Source organism: Homo sapiens, chromosome 5 (assembly GCF_000001405.40).
Source record: "Homo sapiens chromosome 5, GRCh38.p14 Primary Assembly".
NCBI classification, from domain to species: domain Eukaryota; kingdom Metazoa; phylum Chordata; class Mammalia; order Primates; family Hominidae; genus Homo; species Homo sapiens.
In genome coordinates, this window is record NC_000005.10 from 96,975,339 (window position 1) to 96,997,881 (window position 22,543).

Sequence of the window (22,543 nt, forward strand, 5' to 3'; positions counted from 1 at the left end):
CATTCCTTCTTTTCAGTTATACAAGTTGGAATGTAAAGGGAATTGACATAGACTTTTCTCTGTCTCCTACCCTGCAGGTCCATCTAGCCCGAGGTAGTATCAGTTCTTGTGCATCTACCTTTTTGACGTGACTTGTAATCATACCCTCCTCTTTATTCTCACTGCTACTGACATAGTTAAGAACTTTATCTTGACTGTTATTGCCATTATAGTGACAGTCTAACTCACTGCTTCTCACATTATCTGAGCTGAAGAACCAGGGTTTATTGTTTCTGTTTTTTTAATTTTTAATCTGTTGCAGAAATTTTGTAGCATATAAAAAAATTAATTAGAAAAATGAAATGAAAAAAGACATACAAAAATAGCTCAGTTTTATACATTATTAAATTCAATACACATAAAAATTACTCTGTCAAATTGTCATAAAAGTTTTTGGGTACTAATAGTCTATGTATATCCTGTCCCAGATGGGTCACACTTTTGCACATTGGCACTGGTCCACAAACAACATTGAGGAATGCTAGTTCACAGTATCTGATGAAAAGAAATGTCTTCAGTTCTCTTAGATTATAACCACATGGGCCTATGTTATTTAAAACTGAAACATTTCAGTAGAAGGTTCTTTGCTTTGACTTATAGATAGCTTCTATATGTGGATTTAAGAGGTTTTAGAAAATTCCCTGTTTCTTTAGGATCCCTTCTTTCAGTAGGAATAAATCCCATCGAGCAAGGGGTAATCATGTGTTATGTTACAATTTAATGCCAAAATCAAAGTGTACTGACTTAAGAATCAAATCAACATTTTCTTAAATAGGCTTGAAGTACCTTCATGTATCTTCATGGGATACCTGTAATAAAAGTGATTTTCCCTGATTTGATATATTTAACTTGATATGATTGTGCATACAAAAAAAAAACTGTGCTTCTATATTGCACAGTGAAATATAGCAAATGGGTTGATGTGATCTCCATTTCTGAAAGATTAAAATTCTACGTTGGTATTATTCTGACTGGGAGTGAAATAATAAAAGTAAGTTATTTGGATTTAGGCAGGCATCTGACTAAGCCCTTGTCAGAAGATTTGAAATTAATGACATGCAGACAGGAGATACCAAATTGTCAAACTGTAGAATATCTCTTGGCTTTAAATGGCATGGCAGAAGAATAAAAAAACACAGCAACAAAGTTCTAAGGGGACAGAATTGAGAGATTGGAATGCTCTAAATATTAAGCTGAGATTGTACCTGGAGTTAGTTCAGAAATATAGTAAATAAAACCATGCTGTACAGAACCCATTGTTGTCTGCAGTAGGCCTGACACAGAACAAAACACATGGGGCAAATGCCTGAGAGCATAATCTTCCCATGTGTGGTAAAAAAGTCAAAAAAGGCCTTTTTAGACATTTTTAAATTAAAAAAAAAAATTAAGCTAGTCTACAGCAGTGTGCCAGGAACCAAAAAACTACTACAGAAACTTTCTAATCATTAAGAGTTTTAAAAGCAATTTTAAAAAATTGAATACAGCAATATTTGCTCTGTTAATGAAGTGTATGACCCAAAACACTATTAACTATCAAAACAGAACATACTTTTTTTTTTTAACAAGAAATTGGGGCACTATAGGAAGTTTAGGAGATTATATTCCCAAAAGCAGTATGTTAGAACCCTTCTTCTTTCATAGTAGATGGGTAGATGGCAGAATGCTAAACTCATACCTAGAAAATGATTAGAAGTTTTATTCAAATAAAAATTTTAAAGTAGCATAACTTGTATACAGTTCAGGTTGGAGAGGAGTCAGGAAAAGGTAACCTCATTGTGATCCATATGCTCCCCAAAGCAGAAATGGGTGAAGTGAAATGAAAAGAAAGTTTATTTTTTAAAGGTAATAAAGACAAAGGAAAAACAAAAAAACATAACTTTTCTTAATTTGTGTTGTAGCAAGTTAAGCTGAGGTACGGAATACCAGGTGGATGGGCATGGGAAAGGGAGATGATGACACTGCAAGCAGAGGGAAGAGAAAAGAAAAAGAGACATGTGGAGGATAGCGTGGAATAGCTGCCTGGCCTGTGCTCAAAATAGTAAGCAGTTTGGGATGGCCAGAGCATACTCAGGAATGGTATTTAGTGCTGGCTGGGATCTGACCATGGAAGATGCTTATACCAGTGCCTCTCAAACTTAAGTGCACGTGAGCACCCGAGGATTTGTTAAAATTCGTATTCTAGGTGGAGACTTCAGAGGCTGCGTTTCTAACAAGCTGCAATGTGATGCAAATGCTGCAGGGTCACAGGCCACACTGAACAGCAAAACTGCAAATTTTATCCTAATATTTATCAATAATATGTTTTATGGATGAAGAGTTTCCACCATTACAGTGTTTGTTGAATAGCACAAAATACATAGCATTTATCTTAAGCTAGATATTCAGTAGTTTTTTGTAAGCTTTGCTCTCCTGATGGTGAAATAATACTCTTAGCAACTTCATTGCCAGGTATGAAATAAATAATTCAGGGCTCTCATCTTTTATTGAATTAGTTTGAGTAGAGGGATGCAATATAATGAAAAGAGCATAAACTTTTGAATCAAATTTTTAGACCTGTGCTTTAATATCAGTTTTATGACTAAATAGCTGTGTGACTTTATGAAGACGAATTAATCTATTTCTCTTTTTCTATTTTCTCATGTCTAAAATAGAATACTTGCCATTTTATAGGATTGTTGTAAGGGTTAGAAATGATAGGTATAAAGTATCTTCCCTTGTAGGGAAGATTAGTGGAGGTTTCAATTTGATAACTTTTGAGATCCCTTAAAAACTAAAATTGTATGAATTTTAAATAAAAAACATTGAACGATCTAATCCTAGGAAGTACTGATATATGGGGGATTATCGACCCTTCTACTTCTAGAGTCTTTTTTCTCAGTGATTTTGGCAAATCGGAAGGTGTGGTTTGTTGTAGTTTGTAAAAGCTCCCACTGAGATCCACTAACACTCATGGTGTGCAGTATGGTTGTTTCCCATGGAAATATGTTGTACTTCTGAAAGCCATGGAAGCATGAAAAACAGATTGAATTATAATTTTATCTGACTTTTATTGTCTTTTGATCTTTTTAAAAATCATTTCTTGCTTATGGAAATTTCCCATATAATTTGCTGCTTCCCATTTGCTGTGGGACAGAAACATTCCTCTTTCAGGGGAAAACAATAACCCATCCTGTTGCTTAGCCATACTCAATCTTAGAAATGGGCATACCAGCTTGTGGTGCTCCCTAGAGAGAATGAGACTCAGGGATGAGACCCACAAATACCTTGGAAGCAGATTTGAGGCCTGTTGGACAGAAATTCTGGGATTGCAGTGCCCAAACCCTAGAAGGGGAACCGTGGACTGTAGGTGGGCACATCCCTTTGATCCTACTGACTCCTCGCCTGGTGGGGACAGACATAGTCAGAGGAATGCCAAAACAGTGCCCTCTCAAGCCCAGGGCAGGGTCCCAGGTTGTGGGGCAGGAGTATATTAAGGAAATTAGTATATTATCTCAGCTAACTTTTTAAAAATATAATAGCCTGTTTATTTAGCTTTCTTGTTTCATAACTGTGGTATACTTTTATTTATGTTTTAGTTTTTAATGGATGACTCAATGGTATAAACATCTTATTTAATTCAGTAGCTCTGAGATGGAAATAAGTCTTAGTGACTTAAAAAAATTCTTAGTTTAAATGTGGTCTAGGTAGAAGACATGTTATTAATATTATGAGCTTTTTTTTTTCTAACTCTGTGCCTTGTTCTTATGTTTTGGTTTTTTAGATCGGCTTCAGCTCCCCAGGAATATGATTGAAAACAGCATGTTTGAGGAAGAACCAGATGTGGTGGATTTAGCCAAAGAGCCTTGTTTACATCCTCTAGAGCCTGATGAGGTGGAATATGAGCCCCGGGGTTCCCGACTGCTGGTGCGGGGTCTTGGTGAGCATGAGATGGAGGAGGATGAAGAGGATTATGAGTCATCAGCAAAGCTGCTGGGCATGTCCTTCATGAATAGAAGCTCAGGCCTTCGGAACAGTGCAACTGGTTACAGGCAGAGCCCAGATGGGGCTTGTTCAGTACCCTCTGCAAGGACCATGGTGGTCTGTGCTTTTGTCATCGTGGTTGCTGTTTCTGTAATCATGGTGATTTACTTACTGCCCAGATGTACCTTTACCAAAGAAGGCTGCCATAAAAAAAACCAGTCAATTGGACTAATTCAGCCATTTGCAACAAATGGGAAATTGTTTCCATGGGCACAGATCAGGCTTCCCACTGCCGTTGTGCCACTACGCTATGAACTCAGCCTACACCCGAACCTAACCTCGATGACATTCAGGGGTTCTGTGACAATTTCAGTTCAGGCTCTTCAGGTCACATGGAATATCATTCTTCATAGCACAGGTCATAATATTTCAAGAGTGACCTTTATGTCAGCAGTTTCAAGCCAAGAAAAACAAGCTGAGATCCTGGAATATGCATATCATGGACAGATCGCCATTGTTGCCCCCGAAGCCCTTCTAGCAGGGCACAATTATACGTTGAAGATAGAGTACTCGGCAAATATATCTAGTTCTTATTATGGGTTTTATGGCTTCTCCTACACAGATGAAAGTAATGAGAAAAAGTAGGTAGCCCTCTTAAATGATTCTGGTTTTACGCTCTGATAACTTCTGCAATATAGATCCCTTTGTCCACACCAGAGACACGAATTGTGATTTTTTTTTTTAATTTAGGAAGTTATATACAAAATAGTAGAATGGTGATTTAGAACAATATATTATCTCTCTTAGTCAACGCCTTGAGCATATATCATGGTGGGGTGGAGATAGGGGTGTGCTGGTGGAAAAGGATGGATAAAGATTATATCCAAAACTTGTTATCTTGAGTTTTTCACATTTTTAAGGTGAATCTAGTTTTCTGTCACCTCATGAAGTCTGTTGGGAAGCAGAGTAAAGAGGAGTTATTCTTTAAGACCTATTTTCCTAATGTGCAGAACTTTTAGGAGGTACTTAGTGAAATACAGAAAGAGGGCATGAAGAAGTGTGAAGTGTGGTGTGCTTACATATATCATTTTTAATATCCTTAATCTTTACTGGTTTATTATTTTTTAAAATGCCAGTCTATTTTGGATTTCTGGTGTAAATTTTTTTTAAGGTCTAGGAGAGACTTAATTTGGTTCAGAAAAAAAGGTGAGACAAAATATAAAATTATTCAGCTCCCTATTTGGACTATATATTTAGTACTTTAATCTTAGCATTCATAGCATGTAGTTTGAAATTCTGGGAAGATGGAGTTCACACAGTATGGAGGTTATTCTTAAGTAGCAGTGATATCAGTTGTCTTGTGCACAAAATCCTCACGACATCTGCTTTATGCAATTGGAACATTCTCTCATATTACTCTGTAAAACAATATGTGAATTACTGATGCTGACCATTTGGCTAATGTATGTTGACATATTAAGAGAAATAGTTAGAAATGAGTATTCTACATCTAAAGGAAACTTTTTGATCCTTCTTAAATGGAGAAAGAGACCAAGCAAGATCCATAATTCTATTCAGATAAATAATTTTTATTTTATTTTCCCTCTATGTAATACTTTTAAAATAAATGGCATACTGGCCCTGCATTTCAATTCTTGCGTGAGATCTGGGATTGAACACAAATGTATAATTGCAATGGGAACTTGAAAGTTCTTGCCTTTAGTTCTCCTTCTATAATGCCTATTATCCCCAGGAAATGTAAGCTATGTGTAAAAACAAGAAATACATCCCTTAATTACTTTATCTACCAGTATAAATATGTATTCTAATCATACCTCAGAGAAGAAAAATTTATAAAAGCTTCTCTAATAGAACTAAGCAAAATTAAAAGAGAGAAAGACAAAAAAATGGCTTTGAATTATAGTTTTCAGACATCTTGAAAGGTATAAATAATCTAAACATTTACCTGGAATCAAGATATACTATCACTTGGGGGATTCATTTTACTGATACTTTTATTTTGTTTTGAATAGCAGAGTTTCACGTACTAATTTATTTTAATAGGTTGTAAAATACTGTTTTATAATACTCTATTTCTTAATCTTAAAGAAACATATTTCATTTTTCTGACATTTTCCACAACTCAATCCAGCCCATGGCAAGAGTCAACAAGTGGCCGTACCAAAAATCACCTTACTCTGCTGTATTTATTCCTCCCATTAAATAGTTAACGAGTACAAGGATTCCAGGGTCAATATTCTGATGGGAAGAGATGGCTAGGGCACATGTCCTAAAAGTCTGTTTGCATACTAAGAACATATTTCTTGTTGATTGGAAAACCATTGTATGTAAACGTCAGACACCTTGCGTAGACACTGCTTGTTGTAAGGGAACTTACCTTTACCCATGTGATCTAAGAGACAGAGACAGTCAGTAACCTTGGAGTTAAATCTCAAAGTTGTTTATGATAGGCTTAAAGTCCTAGATAACAAACTGATACTAAGAACTAGTAAACAAATTCAGGATAGGGATGTGTTTCAGCAGTTCCTCGTTTCTAACAGAATTTAATTCAAGACCGTTTTTGATCTACCCTTGTTTTTTCTTTCTCATAGTTCTCACCTGCCATGGTGAACTTTCTGATGATAATAATAGCCAGTATTCACCTGGAACTGAAGGGCTGGAAACTGTTCCAAGCCTCTTACGTGTTTAGTCTTTTATTCTGTCAAACTCACTAAGAGATAGATGTTAACATTATATTCATTTTACAGCTAAGGGAGCAGAGGCACATAAAGTAACTTATCCAGCATCTCATGGCAAGCAGATAGCAGAGGGAGAACTCAAACTCAAGGTCATTTTAACTGCAGAAGCCACATTCTTCACCACCATGGTGCACTGCCTCTCTAGTTCATACTTGCTTTCCTTTGTACATTGTTATCTCCAGTGTTTGAAATTCTCTTATCCCCAGTTAATTTGTAATTGTCTTGAACACTACTTGATAAAGTGTTCAACTTTAGTATTTCAGAAAGGAAATATACTCTCCAGTGAAAGAATAAGCTTCAAGTTATTCAGCATAGATAGAACAGGTTATAAGTATTATCAAGCAGCAGCCTTCTCAAAGGGATTTTTATGTGAGATAGTTATGATTGGATCTCTTAACAACAGTTTAAGGCTTTTTCGCCTTAGTGTGTTATGATCTAATTTTTATCCAAAAGTGGTGGGTCTCTCTTGTATGAATAGTAGGGATAACATCAAACTTTATTCCCTGGTCCCTTATGCTTCTCTTCCAAAATCTTCTGTTAACTACATAAGAATGTTGGGGGTGGGTTGAAGAAATGAAATGTTAGAAACATAATATGTGTAAATTGTTTCATGTATGTTGATTGCTACCTTTCTTGCAGTTTACCCAATTCGATAGCAACAGTTATTTGGGCACACATCCTTAACAGAAAAAAAGCAAAAACAAAAGAATACAAAACAAAAAAAGTACACAAATTTTAAGTGTGGAAGAAGTTAGGACTATCTTGCATTTGTAATAAATATCTATTTAGGACCATATGATATACAAGTAGTTTTTATTATAAATAGTTTTATTTGATTCTAACAAAAATCCTAATCTTTAGGACCATATGGTATACAAGTCGTTTTTATTATAAATATTTTTATTTGATTCTAACAAAAACCCTGGTGTTTGGCAGTGGATTCTATCTCAGTCCTAATTTAACTATTAAGGACGTTGGGATGTATGAGATGTAAGGACATTGAGATGTATGAGATGTAGGTTACTGATTTGCCCAAAGTCATGTGGTTAGTAAATTATAGAGTCTGGGTCTTCTGACTCCAAATCTCATACTCTTTCTTTTCTCCTTATCTTCTAGTAGTGGAAACTAAGCCCAAAATGAGAGAGGCTACCACCTCCAAGTGGTGGTTGTATATGTGCTATATTGATTGGTACCTGAAATATGCACACCAGGGCCATATATTTGCCGTGATTATAGCCACGCTGGGATGATCTCCCAAGTTCAGATCTAGTTATTCTTTTACTTAACTGAAAATCTGCATTTCTCCTTGTTTCTTTTTATGCTTTTCCACCAACCTGTAATCGAGGACTTTTCTTTTTTTTTCCCTTGAGACAGCATCTTGCTCTGTCGCCCAGGTTGGAGTGCAGTGGTGCAATCTTGGCTGACTGCAGCCTCTGCCTCCCAGGTGCAAGCGATTCTCCTGCCTCTGTCTCCTGAGTAGCTGGGATTACAGGCATGTGCTACCATGCCTGGCTAATTTTTATATTTTTAAGTAGAGATGAGGTTTCACCATGTTGGCCAGGCTGGTCTCAAACTCCTGATCTCAAGTGATCCGCCCACCTTGGCCTCCCAAAGTGCTGGGATTTCAGGCGTGAGCCACCTGGCCTGGACTGTAATTGAGGATTTTTCTGTGTCATATTCTCAACTGTTGTTGGTGTGCTACAGAAAGAGGAGGAAATTTTTTTTAATCTCTGAGGCGAGTAAAGGAAACCAGAATACTACAGGACACCTAATTTTTTCAATCTTCATGAAAATGCAAGCTGTGAATTTGAGGTTTGGTATCGTGAAGCCAGAGTCTGTACAGATAATTCGCAGCAATTAATGACCACCCTTCTTAATAATCTTCCATCAGAAACCTTTTTAAGACCTCAGTGGCCAGTTGCAGCCTACCTTTGTGGCTTCATCTCCAGCCACACTGGACAGCCACCCCCAGTTTCTGCACATGCACTGCTCTCTTGTGTTCCCGGACCAAACTGAGGGTCAGGCTGCTATTTTTTGCTGCCCCAAAACGAGATGCAGATGAACTGGGAAGAGACTTTTTATTTCTATAACCAGTTATATAGGGAGAAGGCCTGGAAATTATTGCCAGAACAACTCAAAATTACAAAGTTTTCCAGAGCTTATATACCTTCTAAACTATATGTTTACGTGTAAGTGTGCATTTCTCTAAAGACATAAGTGATTAACTTCTTTTAATCCATAACTAAGGTCCGAGTCTTGAAGACCTTCCTCTTGAGCCTCAGTAAATTTACTTAATCTAAATGGGTCCAGGTGCTGGGGTGATTACCCTTATGTTGTCTCCTGCTAAATCACGGAGGTTTGGGGAGTTCCTTCAGACCTCCAGTAATTGTTTGTGGAGGCCTGGGGAGTTTCTTCAGACCCTCCAATAAAACTTATTTAATCCTAAATGGGTCCTGTTAAAAATTCCTTCATTATTTTGTCATGCTTTAAGACCCAGGCAAAACTCTTGGTGGGCTTTTGTTAAATTCCAGCCTTTGTATAAGGGCACTGGCTTTTAATATTTAACTTAACCACTCAGCCAGTACTGAAACAGTTGTTATGGAGGCCTGCGTTAGTGAGATCTGGCTTGCCACACTTGTGTTACCCACTCTTTCCAGAGTATACTTTCTTCCCTTCTTCACCTTTTCAAATACTCATCTTTTTAGGCCCTCTTCAGGTTTTCTGCATGTTTCCTTATAATATCTTCAACCTCTAGTCAGAATTTGTTTCCTTCCCTTTGTTCCCATTGCTTTATTTTCATTGTTAGGACATGACTTACAGCCTGATGTAAGTTTCTGTTCATTGTATAAACCTCTGCCTTTCCCAGTTTATTGCAGATCCTTTAGTAACTAGGATTGTAACATATTTATCTTAGTATACTTGGCAGGGTGCCTTGTACAGTAGGTGCTCAGTAACTACTGGATTGAATTTGTGTTTGTTTTAGGTACTTTGCAGCAACTCAGTTTGAACCCCTGGCAGCAAGATCTGCTTTTCCTTGTTTTGATGAACCAGCATTTAAAGCCACTTTTATCATCAAGATCATAAGGGATGAGCAATACACCGCTTTATCAAATATGCCTAAGGTACTGTTCTGTTCCTTGAATGTAAAAATCTTTGAATGGGTCTCTTTCTTTAAGAACACTTAAATTCCTCTTTGCCAGACTACAGTTGAGAATGATTAAAATCATATACATTAATATTCTTCCTTAAAATACTTAAATAAAAATTAAAATATATTGGCATCAGTTGGGAAGTCACCTTGAGGAGGACTTGAGGAAAGAGAAAGACCTGCTGGACTTGGAATGTGTGGATAGGAAATGTGAGTGTGCATTGTATATTAAGTTGTGCAAATATTAATACAATGAACTAGCAAAAGATTAGAGTAATATTTTCTGAGACAGGATGAATTTGCTATTCTAAACTGTTATTTGAGAGTGTTGAATAATAACTCTTTTTGGTGTTTTATTGGTAAATGAAAAACCAATATTGTTATAATATGGAGATTGACAACTAGAACAGGAGCCTCTTTCTTAGATGTTAGCTCTGTGTGGGATGCAGTGAGGGTGAAACCAATAATTGTTTTTATGCCAAACAAAACCTGGAGCCTAGGGGGTCTTTTTTTGTTTTTTTTTTTTTGGTCTTAGACACCTGAGGGACTGTGCAGCTTGATAGGAGCCTCCTGGACCCATGTGGCTAAGGGAGAGGAGCAGCAGCCATACCCAGCAGGCTATGGAGCCAATCCTGTAGGCAGCAGAGAGCATAATCTGTAACAAGACAGCACTGTACCAGCTTACTCTGCACACTCAGCCATACTCTTCACCTTCATCTTTCTCTAAAGAGGCAGATGCCTACTTTAATTTGTGGTTGGAAAATTCTATAAGGTTGCCTACATTCCCTCATTTTGTGTCTGCTGCAGACTTCTCTAATGACTTACTACTGACTTTGTTCCCACTAAGCTTTCTTGGGGGTCCTCAACATGGCACCCCATGAAGCCATTTCAGATCATTTGAAGGGATGTCGCAGCTAGAGCTCCTTCTGTGGATGTATTTGTAGCAGTAGAGTGGAGCAATCCCAGGTCATAAGGAAGGATTTTGGTTTTGGAGGTGTTCTAATGGGAGAAGCAGAACCAATGTGACTATCTTTAACTTAACATTTATTTGGTCATCTTTGGGACTAAAAACTCCTTGAGGAGTTTCACTGTGCTCCATATGTCCTCAGGATGAAGGATGGTACAACAGACTGAGACTAGGAGCCATGCTCTTTGCAGAAATTCATACTGAGAGGTTATAATATGCTAGCATCTTTACCATTTATTTCCTATTTGAATTTTCAGTTTCTCAGTTTGTTTGTTATTGCCATTTATTCCTATAGTTACAGAACTGTCTTTTCCCCTTTGCTTGTAGAAGTCATCAGTCGTTCTAGATGATGGACTTGTTCAGGATGAGTTTTCTGAGAGTGTGAAGATGAGCACTTACTTGGTTGCTTTCATTGTGGGAGAGATGAAGAACCTGAGTCAGGACGTAAATGGAACCCTGGTATGTTGATGTGGTAATTGTCTGAAAGCCTGTGTCACAAGAGGCTCAGAGGACCTCTTGCTTTAACGATTCCTGGTATTTGCTGTGTGAAATAAATAAGCTTTTAGATCACACTCTGACATTTTATACCAGAAATGCTACTTTTTTGCTTAGCTGTTATTTACTGTTACTAGTTTAATAGCTGAAAGTCAATAATTTTCAAGTTTTAAAAAATTTTACTTTTAAAGAGAATTTTAGTAAGACACTATATGTATACTAAAGCTTTTAGAACTGAGTGGTAGCCACTAGCCTTAGGGGGAATATTTAGATTTAAATAAATAAAAATTAAATACAATTTAAAATTCACTTCCTCAGTCTCACTAACCATATTTCAAGTGTTCAGCAGTGTTCATGTGACTAGTGGCTACATATTCGATAGCTCTAGGTTGTAAAAATTAGATGAGTCCTCCCTTTTTTCAAAGCAAATCCTGATGAGATTCCTCTTCCTAATGAATAAGATTGTCTATTTAGTTAAGGGTCTGGTTTATCTGTATTTTGCCAAAATTAGACTCTTCTGTTTTTCTTTATCATTTGTACCTGTTTGTAAATGATTATTTGATTGGACTTTATACTTTGATTTCATAGTAGAAACCTAATAAAGTTAATTTTTTCAAATACTGACAACATAGAAGGAGAAAAGGCATTCTATCATATTTATTAAACTAAAAACAATTATTCTTGATGATAGAAATATGATAGAATGTCTTAGTTTCTGTTTTCGTATTTTTGAGCTCTACCAGGGAATATACTGCTAGTTTTGGGTTTCCTTTCTAGACTAAAGAGCTTTATATTAATCACAGGATACTTGGATCTTATCATTTTGCTACTTCAAAAGGGTATATGTTTCCTATTAGAAAAGACTATCACGTCTATCCCATACCTTTCAGAGATAAGGACAGAGATAAGGATTCTCTGGTGATTTATCAGTAATAATACTGTATGCCTTTAATGATGCTACTCAAAAAGTAAACTAAGTTTTTAATGGTAAGTGTAGACTGTAATATTAAGCGCTAAATAATGGTTCACTCACCTTTGGATTGAAAGACTTTATGTCAAGGATTTTTCAGAATCCTTTCAAAAGGATATTATAACTGGCTTAAATCTGAAATAATTCAATTAATTCCACTTCAGGTGTTGCACTACATATTTAGCCTTTGATTTAGAGTTTGCAGCCTTGATAAAGCCTAAGAAGCCCAATCTAAAAGAGTCAGGTTTGCTGCTGCTTCAAGACTCAGCTGAATACTACGTTCTCCATGAAGCATTTCTTTCTTTCCCCAGCTGGAATTAATCATTCCCTCTCTGATCTTTCATAGCACTTTAATTATCTCTTTTTTGTAGTTCTTAATACTCATTGGTATAAAACCCCCAGCACTTTTTATGTATCCCAAAATGTATGCAGTCTTGGCATTTTCCCCCCTTCTTTTCTTCCTTCCTCTTCACTCTCTCTCTTCCTTTTTCCCCCTTTCTCTCATCTGCTGTGTTTGCTTCACACTACCTGTAGGATTACATTCAGATTCATCATTTGATAATCAAGGCCTTCCTTATAAATTCAGCAATATTTCTTTTCTTGTTTAAAATTTATTTTTTCCACCCATCTGCACACTGATCTTTCTTTTTTCTTTTTCTTTTCTTTTTTTTTTTTTTTTGAGACAGAGTCTCGCACTGTCGCCTGGGGTGGAGTACAAGTGGCACAATTTCGGTTCACCACAACCTCTGCCTCCCGGGTTCAAGCAATTCTCCTGCCTCAGCCTCCTGAGCAGCTGGGATTACAGGTGCCCTCCACCACGCCCGGCTAATTTTTTGTATTTTTGGTAGAGATGAGGTTTCATTATTTGGCCTGCTGGTCTCTAACTCCTGACCTTGTGATCCGCCCGCCTCAGCCTCCCAAAGTGCTGGGATCTTTTTTAAAAATTTTTTTAGTGACAGGGTCTCACTCTGCCACCCAGGCTGGAGTACATGGTGCAATCATAGCTCACCGTAACATTAAAGTTCTGGGCTCAAGTGATTCTCTCCCAAGTCATTGGGACTACAGACAGGCACCTGCCACCATACTTGGCTAGGTGTTTTGTTTTGTTTTTTTAATTTTTTGTAGAGGCATCTTGCTATGTTGCTCAGGCCAGCTTAAACTCCTGGGCTCAAGCAATCCTCCTGCCTCAACCTCCCAAAGTGCTGAGATTACAGGTTTAAACCATACTTCTGGCAAATTCAGCTATATTTCTAATTGCCTCATTATGAATTCTTTCATCTAGGCAAGCTGAATTATTCATTGCCCACATACACACTGCATTCTCATATATGTGTGTGCATGTGCATGCTTGTGTGTATGTGTGTGGAAAGAGGAAGAGATAGAGAAGTTTTAGATGACTATGTTTTCTTTTTTGCTTTTTATTCCTGTATTAGGAAACAACATGGTTAAACATAGACTCTGGAGTCTAATTGGGTTGAAATCCCTCCTAGACAGCTTACTAGCTATGGGCCCTTAAGTAGACTGCTCTCATCCTTTCTCAGTATATATATATATGTGTGTGTGTAAGTGTATAATATTTGTGTATATATGATATATATATTATATAATATATAATTTATATATAATATATTGTATATTATATATAATATATAATTATATATAATATATAATATATTATATATTATATATAATTATATATTATATATTATATACAATATATTATATATTATATATAATATATAATTATATATTATATATTTATATATATTATTATATATTAAGTAAGAAATAGAGCAAATCTTAAATCTGTTATTGCTCAGTGTTAACCTTCTTTGAGAGCTGATCAGGGATCTTTCTAGTTGTGTTTTTAGAAATCTCCTATAAGATCTTTGAAAGAGATCTGTCAAGAAAAGTTTCAGGTTGTAAGTTTTAAGGCCTGAGTGCCGATTGACTTTTATTTAACAATGTTTAGAGTACTCTTACCAAGTCCAGAATGCTGTTCAAGACTTTCTTTGCTGAGCTATGTTGCTCTCTCTATTTCTTACTGCATCTGTTGCTCTTAGAAAAGCTTTATAATAATTGTAATGACCAGATTATTTATCTCTCGTAAGAACTCATTACAGATGTTCTTTTAAGGAAAAGAAAAAGAAGTAGAAAGGAAGAGAAAGTATTAAACTACATTTTTTCCTAATCATTGTATTCCAGAGATGGGAATAAGTGGACCCTTTGGTCAAAGTTCAGTTTCATGTGAACTTTTTCTCCTGGCTTGTCCTCTAAGGAAAGGTGCTCAGTGATGGGAGTTGCCAAATGGTGTGTGTGGCAGAAGAATGTTTTAGGAGTAATCTGGAGGTATGAGTGATGTTTCTATTGGGGTACCATCTTCTAGATTATTGAGGCAACTGTAACACAAGATATGTTTGTCTGGAAAGAATAGGTACAGCTAATAAAGACTTGTCTTAAATTCTATTGATCTTGTTACAGTTATTTATAATGATAGCTGAAGATTTAAAAATTGTATGTCAGGTGCACGTGCGTGTGTGTGTGTATATTAAAACTGACTTCTGTAGGGGAAAGATGCAGGAAATGCAGTAAGTAGGATCAGCTTGTAGGCGGTGACTGAATTCAGTAAGCTGTGGTCACAGTCCTGTATCAAGGGCTTCAGGTGTTAGAAGGCTGGGCTAATGAAGTACGGTTGGCTACATAATATGGGAGAATAAATTTCTTCCCTTGTTACTTTAGAAAGCTACATATTTTTAATTGGTTAACTCCAGTTCTATACATATAATTCTTCCAGTAGTAACCACAAATATTCTGTTCACACATATTTTGCCTCAATTCCGATGGGAGTCTATTTGTAATAACAATAACTACCATTTATTGAACACTTAGACATTGTGTCACGCACTAATCTAAGTTCTATACATGTATTAGCTTAATCCTCACAGCAACTCTGTGAGGGTAGGAGCCACTTTTATCCCCATTTTATGGATAAGGAAAGTAAGGTTAACTAGCCTGCTTAAGGTCATACAGATAGCAGAGATTTGAACCCCAGCACTGTAAATACAGAGCCTATATATTTCATTTTTTGTTCATTTACTTAAACATTCTATATTGTTTAATTTTTATGCCACCTCCATATTTCTATGATTAATGCATATGTTCTATAGACTGAAGCCTCACATAAAGACAATATGGTTGAAACCTATTTGACCTCTTAGAAATTGTTGACAGTTTTTTGCTTTATTTTAAGAGGTTTTTGGGGAACAGGTGGTGTTCGGTTATATGGATAAGTTCTTTAGTGGTGATTTCTGAGATTTTGGTGCACCCATCACCCAAGCAGTGTAGACTGCACCCAATGTGTAATCTTTTATCCCTCACTCCCCTCCCACCCTTTCCTCCATGTTCCCAAAGTCCATTGTATCATTCTTATGCCTTTGCATCCTCATAGCTTAGCTCCCACTTATGAGTGAGAACATACATACGATGTCTGGTTTTCCATTCCTGAGTTACTTTACTTAGAATAATCGTCCCCAATTCCATCCAGGTTGCTGCGATTGCCATTATTTCATTCCTTTCTATGGCTGAGTAGTATTCCATGGTATGTATATATATCACAATTTATTTATCCACTCATTGATCAATCCCAGTAGTGGGACTGACAAATCAAATGATTCCTCTACTTTTAGTTCTTGAAGGAATCTCCACACTGTTTTCTATAGTGGTTGTACTAGTTTACATTCCCACCAGCAGTGTAAAGGTGTTCCTTTTTCACCACATCTACGCTAACATCTATTATTTTCTGATTTTTTTTGGTTATGGCCATTTTTACCAGGAGTAAGGTGGTATCGCTTTGTGGTTTTGATTTGCATTTTGCTGATCATTAGTGATGTTGAGCATTTTTCCAAATGCTTGTTGTCTATTTATATATCTTCTTTGGAGAATTGTCTTTTCATGTCCTTAGCCTATTTTTTGATGGGATTGTTTTATTTTCTTGCTGATTTGTTTGAGTTCCTTTTAGATTCTAGATATTAGCCTTTGTCAGATGTATAGATTATGAAGATTTTCTCCCACTTTGTGGGTTGTCTGTTCACTCTGCTGATTGTTGAATAAGATGTCCTTTCCCCACTTTATGTTTTTGCTTTGAGAAATTGTTGACAGTTTTAAAATCATAATGAGAAACTAAAATTGGAGTTAAGAGTTCACCAATGTGCTTTTTCCAAATTATGAATTGTTCAAAAAGTTTCCATTTTCCACCTGTTGAGATCTTCATTTTGAGGTTTTTATTTTCTACTGTGTCTAATCTACATCCCACTTTTCCAGGTGAGTATAGAGGGCTTTTTAAAATCAATTAGAAAAAAATAAATACTGTTTTGTAAAACCCATTGCTTTGAACATGGCTGTTTAACACTTGCCTTTTGATACTTCCTGAATAAAATGTTTATAGTTTGTCGCATCATATATGTTTAATTTATTCATTTAGCCAAAAAAAGAGAGAGTGAGCAAGAATTGCAATTTAATAATAAGGATGATTCCATCTGCCTTGTCTCTTAGTATGTACCCGGGAGTGAATGGGCAGTGGGAGACATGAACCTGTTGTTCCCTTGGTTGGTTTTAGTTCTGTGTACAACTCATAAAACAAGTGTTTCTCTGTATAATATATTTATTTTTACAACATGACCCTTAAAAACAAGCCAACAACTGAAAAAAAAGTTAGCTGTCCGCAGCATTGGAAGAAAAACTGGCTGTGCCATACTTACTGGAAGAGAATATGTTGGTCTATAATTGGTTTTTCTAGGATAATTTCAACAAATATGCAATTTATGCCTTATATGTTAACTTTAGAACTAACTCCATCATAAGATGTGACTCCTCAGTGTTGAGTGCCTGCTAGATGCCAGGCACGGTGAGGTCCTGAAAGGATGAAAATTTAGTTTTGTCTTTCAAATAACTCTCAATCTTTTTACCTCATAAGTAAGGAAGGGCAGCTACAGGTAATGGGAGAGAAAGAGAAGAGTATCATAAAATTAAATAGGCAAATACTTATAAGTTGCTATAAGATGACCTAAAGTAGTTATTTTGGATGTTGCTAGCTTAAAAAAAAGCGGGGCGGGGGTGGGGCGGGGTTGGAATCAGTAAGTCTTTCAACAATGTTGTATGTGTGGAAGGGACTTGGTAAACTCTGTTGGGACTAAAGTAACCATAAGCAAGTGTTTCTATCCAGAAGGATCTCATACAATTCTATAGAATTTTCAGATATGCTAGTCTTGACAGTGCTACTTGAGTATCATGCCATTTTAATTGTACCTGTCCTTGCATCATACATAATGTTTTCCTTTAGGTTTCTATATATGCTGTACCAGAAAAGATTGGTCAAGTTCATTATGCCTTGGAAACAACTGTGAAGCTTCTTGAGTTTTTTCAAAACTACTTTGAAATTCAGTACCCACTTAAGAAATTGGGTAAGAATCAAATAGTGTGTCTGATTTTTGTTATAATTAGAACCTAGATTTATTTTGTGAATTTTTTTAGAAAGAGGTTCTGCCCAAGTTGTTTGCAGAGAAAACCAAAAACCATTATTAATGCTTTAAAAATTGTTTGTATTTGTTAAGATTATTTAGATTTCATGAATATATCTGAAGTTGGAGCTTAAAACACTTAAGTTTATAGGGCTGCTAAAAAGGTGCTGTATAAGTGGGAATTTGCTTATGGCTTAGTCTGCAATTTGACTAATTCTAACTTCCAAGAAATACCCTATTTAAATAATAAAAACTGAGTAACGGGAGCTCAGGAAAGCAAGAACATTTCAGTGCTGTTCAACATGGAGCTAGTCCTAGAGAGTAGAGTATTGGCCGTGAACTTTGTCCTTCTTGCTCTGGGAAGCTGATTGATTGTAAAGGAATTAGGCATCTCTTTCTTCACTAAGGGACAGTGGAACAGTGACTCTAAAAGGGTTTGAACAGGTCTTCCTCAGCTGACATGTGGGTAGAGAGCATACAGAGCTAGAATAAGGAAGATTCCATTTATTGTGAGTATAAAAAGAATTCATTGCTTTCACAGTGATAAACCATTGAATAAAATACTTTGAGTAGAAAATGCCTAAGATGAGGGAAAGTTGATCACTTATTTCCTGTTATGTCCAGATTTGGTGGCTATTCCTGACTTTGAAGCAGGAGCAATGGAAAATTGGGGTTTGCTCACCTTCCGAGAGGAGACACTTCTGTATGACAGTAACACTTCTTCAATGGCGGATAGAAAGCTGGTGACTAAAATCATTGCTCATGAGCTGGCCCACCAGGTATTAGCAACCAAGGCTGTTCTGTGTCACACCTGTGGTCTACTTCATGTCCTGGAGTTATTGTTAGCATTTAGATGCTAATAATTCTTTTTTTTTTTAAGCATTGCCTTCTTTTATAATAGAAAGATGCTTTTTAAACACAAACTTCATTTTCAAATGAAAATGCTATCAGATGTTTGACTTTACAGGTTAAAGCATTTTCACATCTGTCTTACTTCGCAACTTCTCTAAGGTGGGTATTAATCACATTTTACATATGTGAAAACTGAGACTCAGTTTAAATAAATGGCTTGCCATAAGTCATACAGCTAATAAGTGGCAGCACTGGGCCATGAAGAGCCACTATCTCTTCAAGATCTCTTTTTCCCCCTCAGTAATACACAGCTGCATCACCTATGACAAATGCCCATTGCCCAGTATAACTTTGTGGGGAAGAATCTCTTTCCCTAAGTTGCACCCTTCTGACAACTCAAACTGTAGCTGTCAGGGCTGGATTTTTTTTTTTTTTTCATCTCCTGCCGGAATGGGGTTCTCTGTTAATTTTGGAGAGGGGGTTTCTGAGAAAATGGCAAAGGGTACTGTTTGTATGACATGGAGAGAAAGAAAGAAAATTATATGGGTACATAACACCCCCATTCTTCCCTAACACCTTGTCTCTATTTTGCCCTAGATGAGGTGCTTAACTAGCATTGGGTATGGTTTGGGTGATGTCATGACAGTGGCAGGATATGAATAGGATGTATTCTGGTCAGCTTATTTTCTACATCAAACACCTTATATGAATCTAGCCTTTGTGAAGACTTCATGACAAGCTGGCATATGAGCACATTCTCATTTGCTTTAAAAATAGGGCATGGGCCAGATGCAGTGGCTCACGCCTGTAATCTCAGCACTTTGAGAGGCGGAGGCAGGCGTATCACAAGGTCAGGAGATCAAGACCATCCTGGCCAACATGGTGAAACCCCGTCTCTACTAAAAATACAAAAATTAGCTGGGCGTGGTGGTGCATGCCTGTAATCCTAGTTACTTGGGAGGCCGAGGCAAAAGAATCACTTGAACCCAGGAGGCAGATGTTGCAGTGAGCCGAGTTTGCACCAGTGCACTCCCGCCTGACAACAGAGTGAAACTCCATCTCAAAAAAAAATAGGTCATATAGATAAGATGTCTTTTGGGGGATCTCCTCTAGGTCTGTTATTTCTGAAGCCACCCATCACCATTTGGGAGTATTTCTCTGTTATTTCCTCTTTAGGACTTAGAAATCATCTTCCTCTGAAACAGGTTTTAAAATAATATCTTAGAAAAATGTTATTGTAATTCTCAAAGGTGTTTTGTTTTATGCAGTAACCTCGTCCTTTCGCTGCTGATTTGAGATAAGCCCAAGACCACACTGACCAAATTACATATTTTACAACTACTTTTCATTTCAAGGATTTTTTTAGATACATTTTTTAAGGAGAATCTCCTATTATTTTTTTCCTTTTTCTTTTCTTTTTACTACCTCATAGAAGAAAATATTTAAAGCTCTTTCTGACTTCATTTGTTTATATATGCCATCTTTTTTTTTTTGTTTTTAAAGAAACAAGATCTCACTCTGTCACCCAGGCTGGAATGCAGTGGCATGATCATAGCTCACTGCAATTTTGAACTCTTAGGCTCAACTGATCCTCCCGCCTCATCCTCCCGAGTAGCTAGGCCAACAGGCATACATCACCATGCCTGGCTTAATTTTTTTGTAGAGACAGAGTCTCTCTATGTTGCCCATGCTGGCTTGAACTCCTGGCCTTAAGCAATCCTCCTGCCTTGCCCTCCTAAAGCACTGGGATTACAGGTGTAAGCCACGATGCCCAGCCTGTATATGTCAACTTAGTCTTAAGGAATGTTGTTTGAATTCTGTTTTGAATCATGCATATACTGTCTTCAATTTGGGCAACTGAGGAGAAACAAAGTATAGGCTTTCTGATTACAGGAAAATCTCTCACATAGAGACTTTTTAGTTGTCATGGGTGGTTGTAGATACAATGGAAAATAATCTTACTAACTTGATATTAGAAGGTAGAAAAATGTCATTATCTTGGAAATCTCACTTTATGAGGTGGCCGAAAAAAGTTTTTATTTCCCTATATTCATGCTATATTGCATGTTTGTTACATTGATAAATATGCTAATAACCTTTCTTGCTTGTTTCCCATTCAGTTAAGGTAAAAGATTAAAAATTATATTTTATTTTTAAAGTAAATTTATACAACTTTTGTAAGTTCTAAATTAATTTGAATATAGTTTGTTTTAACTATAGTATCAGTATATCTTTAAGATATTGTAATCAGGTTATAGATAATTAATATGACACTTCAGCCAATTATTTAAAAAATTCCTGAGGCTGTAAATATCCTGTGGGTTAATTGTTTTCTCTCCCCCCAGTGGTTTGGCAATCTGGTAACAATGAAGTGGTGGAATGACCTATGGCTAAATGAAGGTTTTGCCACTTTCATGGAGTATTTCTCTTTGGAAAAAATATTCAAAGAGCTTTCTAGTGTAAGTACAGGGTTTCTTTGGCCTACTATGAATGCTAGGAGGAAAAATAGTCAAATCACATTTTCATGTATTTTCTGTGCATCTGGAGTAATGAAAATGTTTCTAGGAAGGTATGCCAAACTTGACTTTGGTTATTGATATCTATACCTTTTGAGATTTGACAATGAAAGGGATGCTATTATTTACTGATGTGTTTCATTCAAAACTGAAATTATATAAGATTATTTTATATTTTTGTCATTAAGATGAACATTTTAAATTGTTTTGCAACATTTTCTTTTAAACAGCTATAGTTCTTCTGCTTGCAGGAATTTAAAGTTGCAAAGTCTAATTAAAATTTTTTTATCCTGTGTAAAATTTAAACTTTTTTATCCTGTGTAAAAATTAGATAAAAAATTAAAACATTTTATAGCAATACTGTTTCTCTATTATCACTGTGTACATTCTTGTGATAGTGATATATAGCTTGGTACAAATAAATAATTTGCCCTTTTTAAGGTACAAACCACATTTTATGCCTTTTTCCAAAGACAAGGAATACCGTTTCAGTACAGAGAAGTATAATAGTGGTGTCACTATGGTATTAGACTCTTGGGAAATATTTCCAGTACTTAGGGATATTCAAACACACTAGGCCATGATATGACAGATATTGTCAAGATAATTCAAACAATAGGTGGGAAAGTGTAAAGATACCTTCCAACCCCCAAATTTTTTGACTTTCTATTAAACTTCCTGATGTTATAATCCAAGATGGCTTTTAAAACAGAAGTACTCTTAAGAGCTTTTGATTTGAAATTTTAGATAGGGCTTGTTGAAAAATTTCAAGTGGTAGGGGAAATTAATTGATGTTAATTAATATCAAGTGGTAGCTAGAATACTAAGAAAGATATTCTAAATCCATGTATACTACTTAATTAAGTAATGAGATACACAGTTTGACCACTTGGTGGTGCCCAGAATGTGTAAAAAGGTCTAATACATGTTCTAGGGGAGCTCATCTGCTGAGCTCTTAAAGAATTATTTCTGTTTAAGAGTTACATTTTATTTAAAACCGACCTCAGGTAAGGGAAATGTATATTTTCTTAGTAGAAATTCTAGACTATATATAAGAAATCAGCGTAAGGACCAGTTTTTGTTCTTTCTCTTTTTAAATTTCAAGTTTCATTTAAAAAAATATATGCTAACCTTTTTAGAATATTCATCTTGGATACTCAGAGTTGGCATTTGTTTACTTTGGTAATAGATTCTTAATTTTCCCATATGCTGTTGTTTAGGAAATGCTAATTTTAATGTGGCCAGGTTATAATTGTATCTTTAAATTTAAGGAATATTCATGAAGTTTACAATCTTCCTACATTTTTGAAAGCTTATATCC

The 22,543-nt window shown here is 36.1% G+C and overlaps 1 protein-coding gene across 3 annotated transcripts in view; it reads left to right on the plus strand.

Moving 5' to 3' along the window:
• LNPEP (leucyl and cystinyl aminopeptidase) overlaps nt 1-22,543 on the plus strand; it is a 101,434-nt gene that overhangs the window by 39,259 nt on the left and 39,632 nt on the right. For all 3 annotated transcript variants that reach the window (NM_005575.3, XM_047417177.1, NM_175920.4), the window contains exons 2-7: nt 3,800-4,640; nt 9,742-9,880; nt 11,201-11,332; nt 17,677-17,797; nt 18,479-18,633; nt 21,052-21,165. In NM_005575.3, coding sequence (NP_005566.2) covers nt 3,800-4,640; nt 9,742-9,880; nt 11,201-11,332; nt 17,677-17,797; nt 18,479-18,633; nt 21,052-21,165 — 1,502 coding nt within the window. The remainder of the gene's footprint in view (nt 1-3,799; nt 4,641-9,741; nt 9,881-11,200; nt 11,333-17,676; nt 17,798-18,478; nt 18,634-21,051; nt 21,166-22,543) is intronic.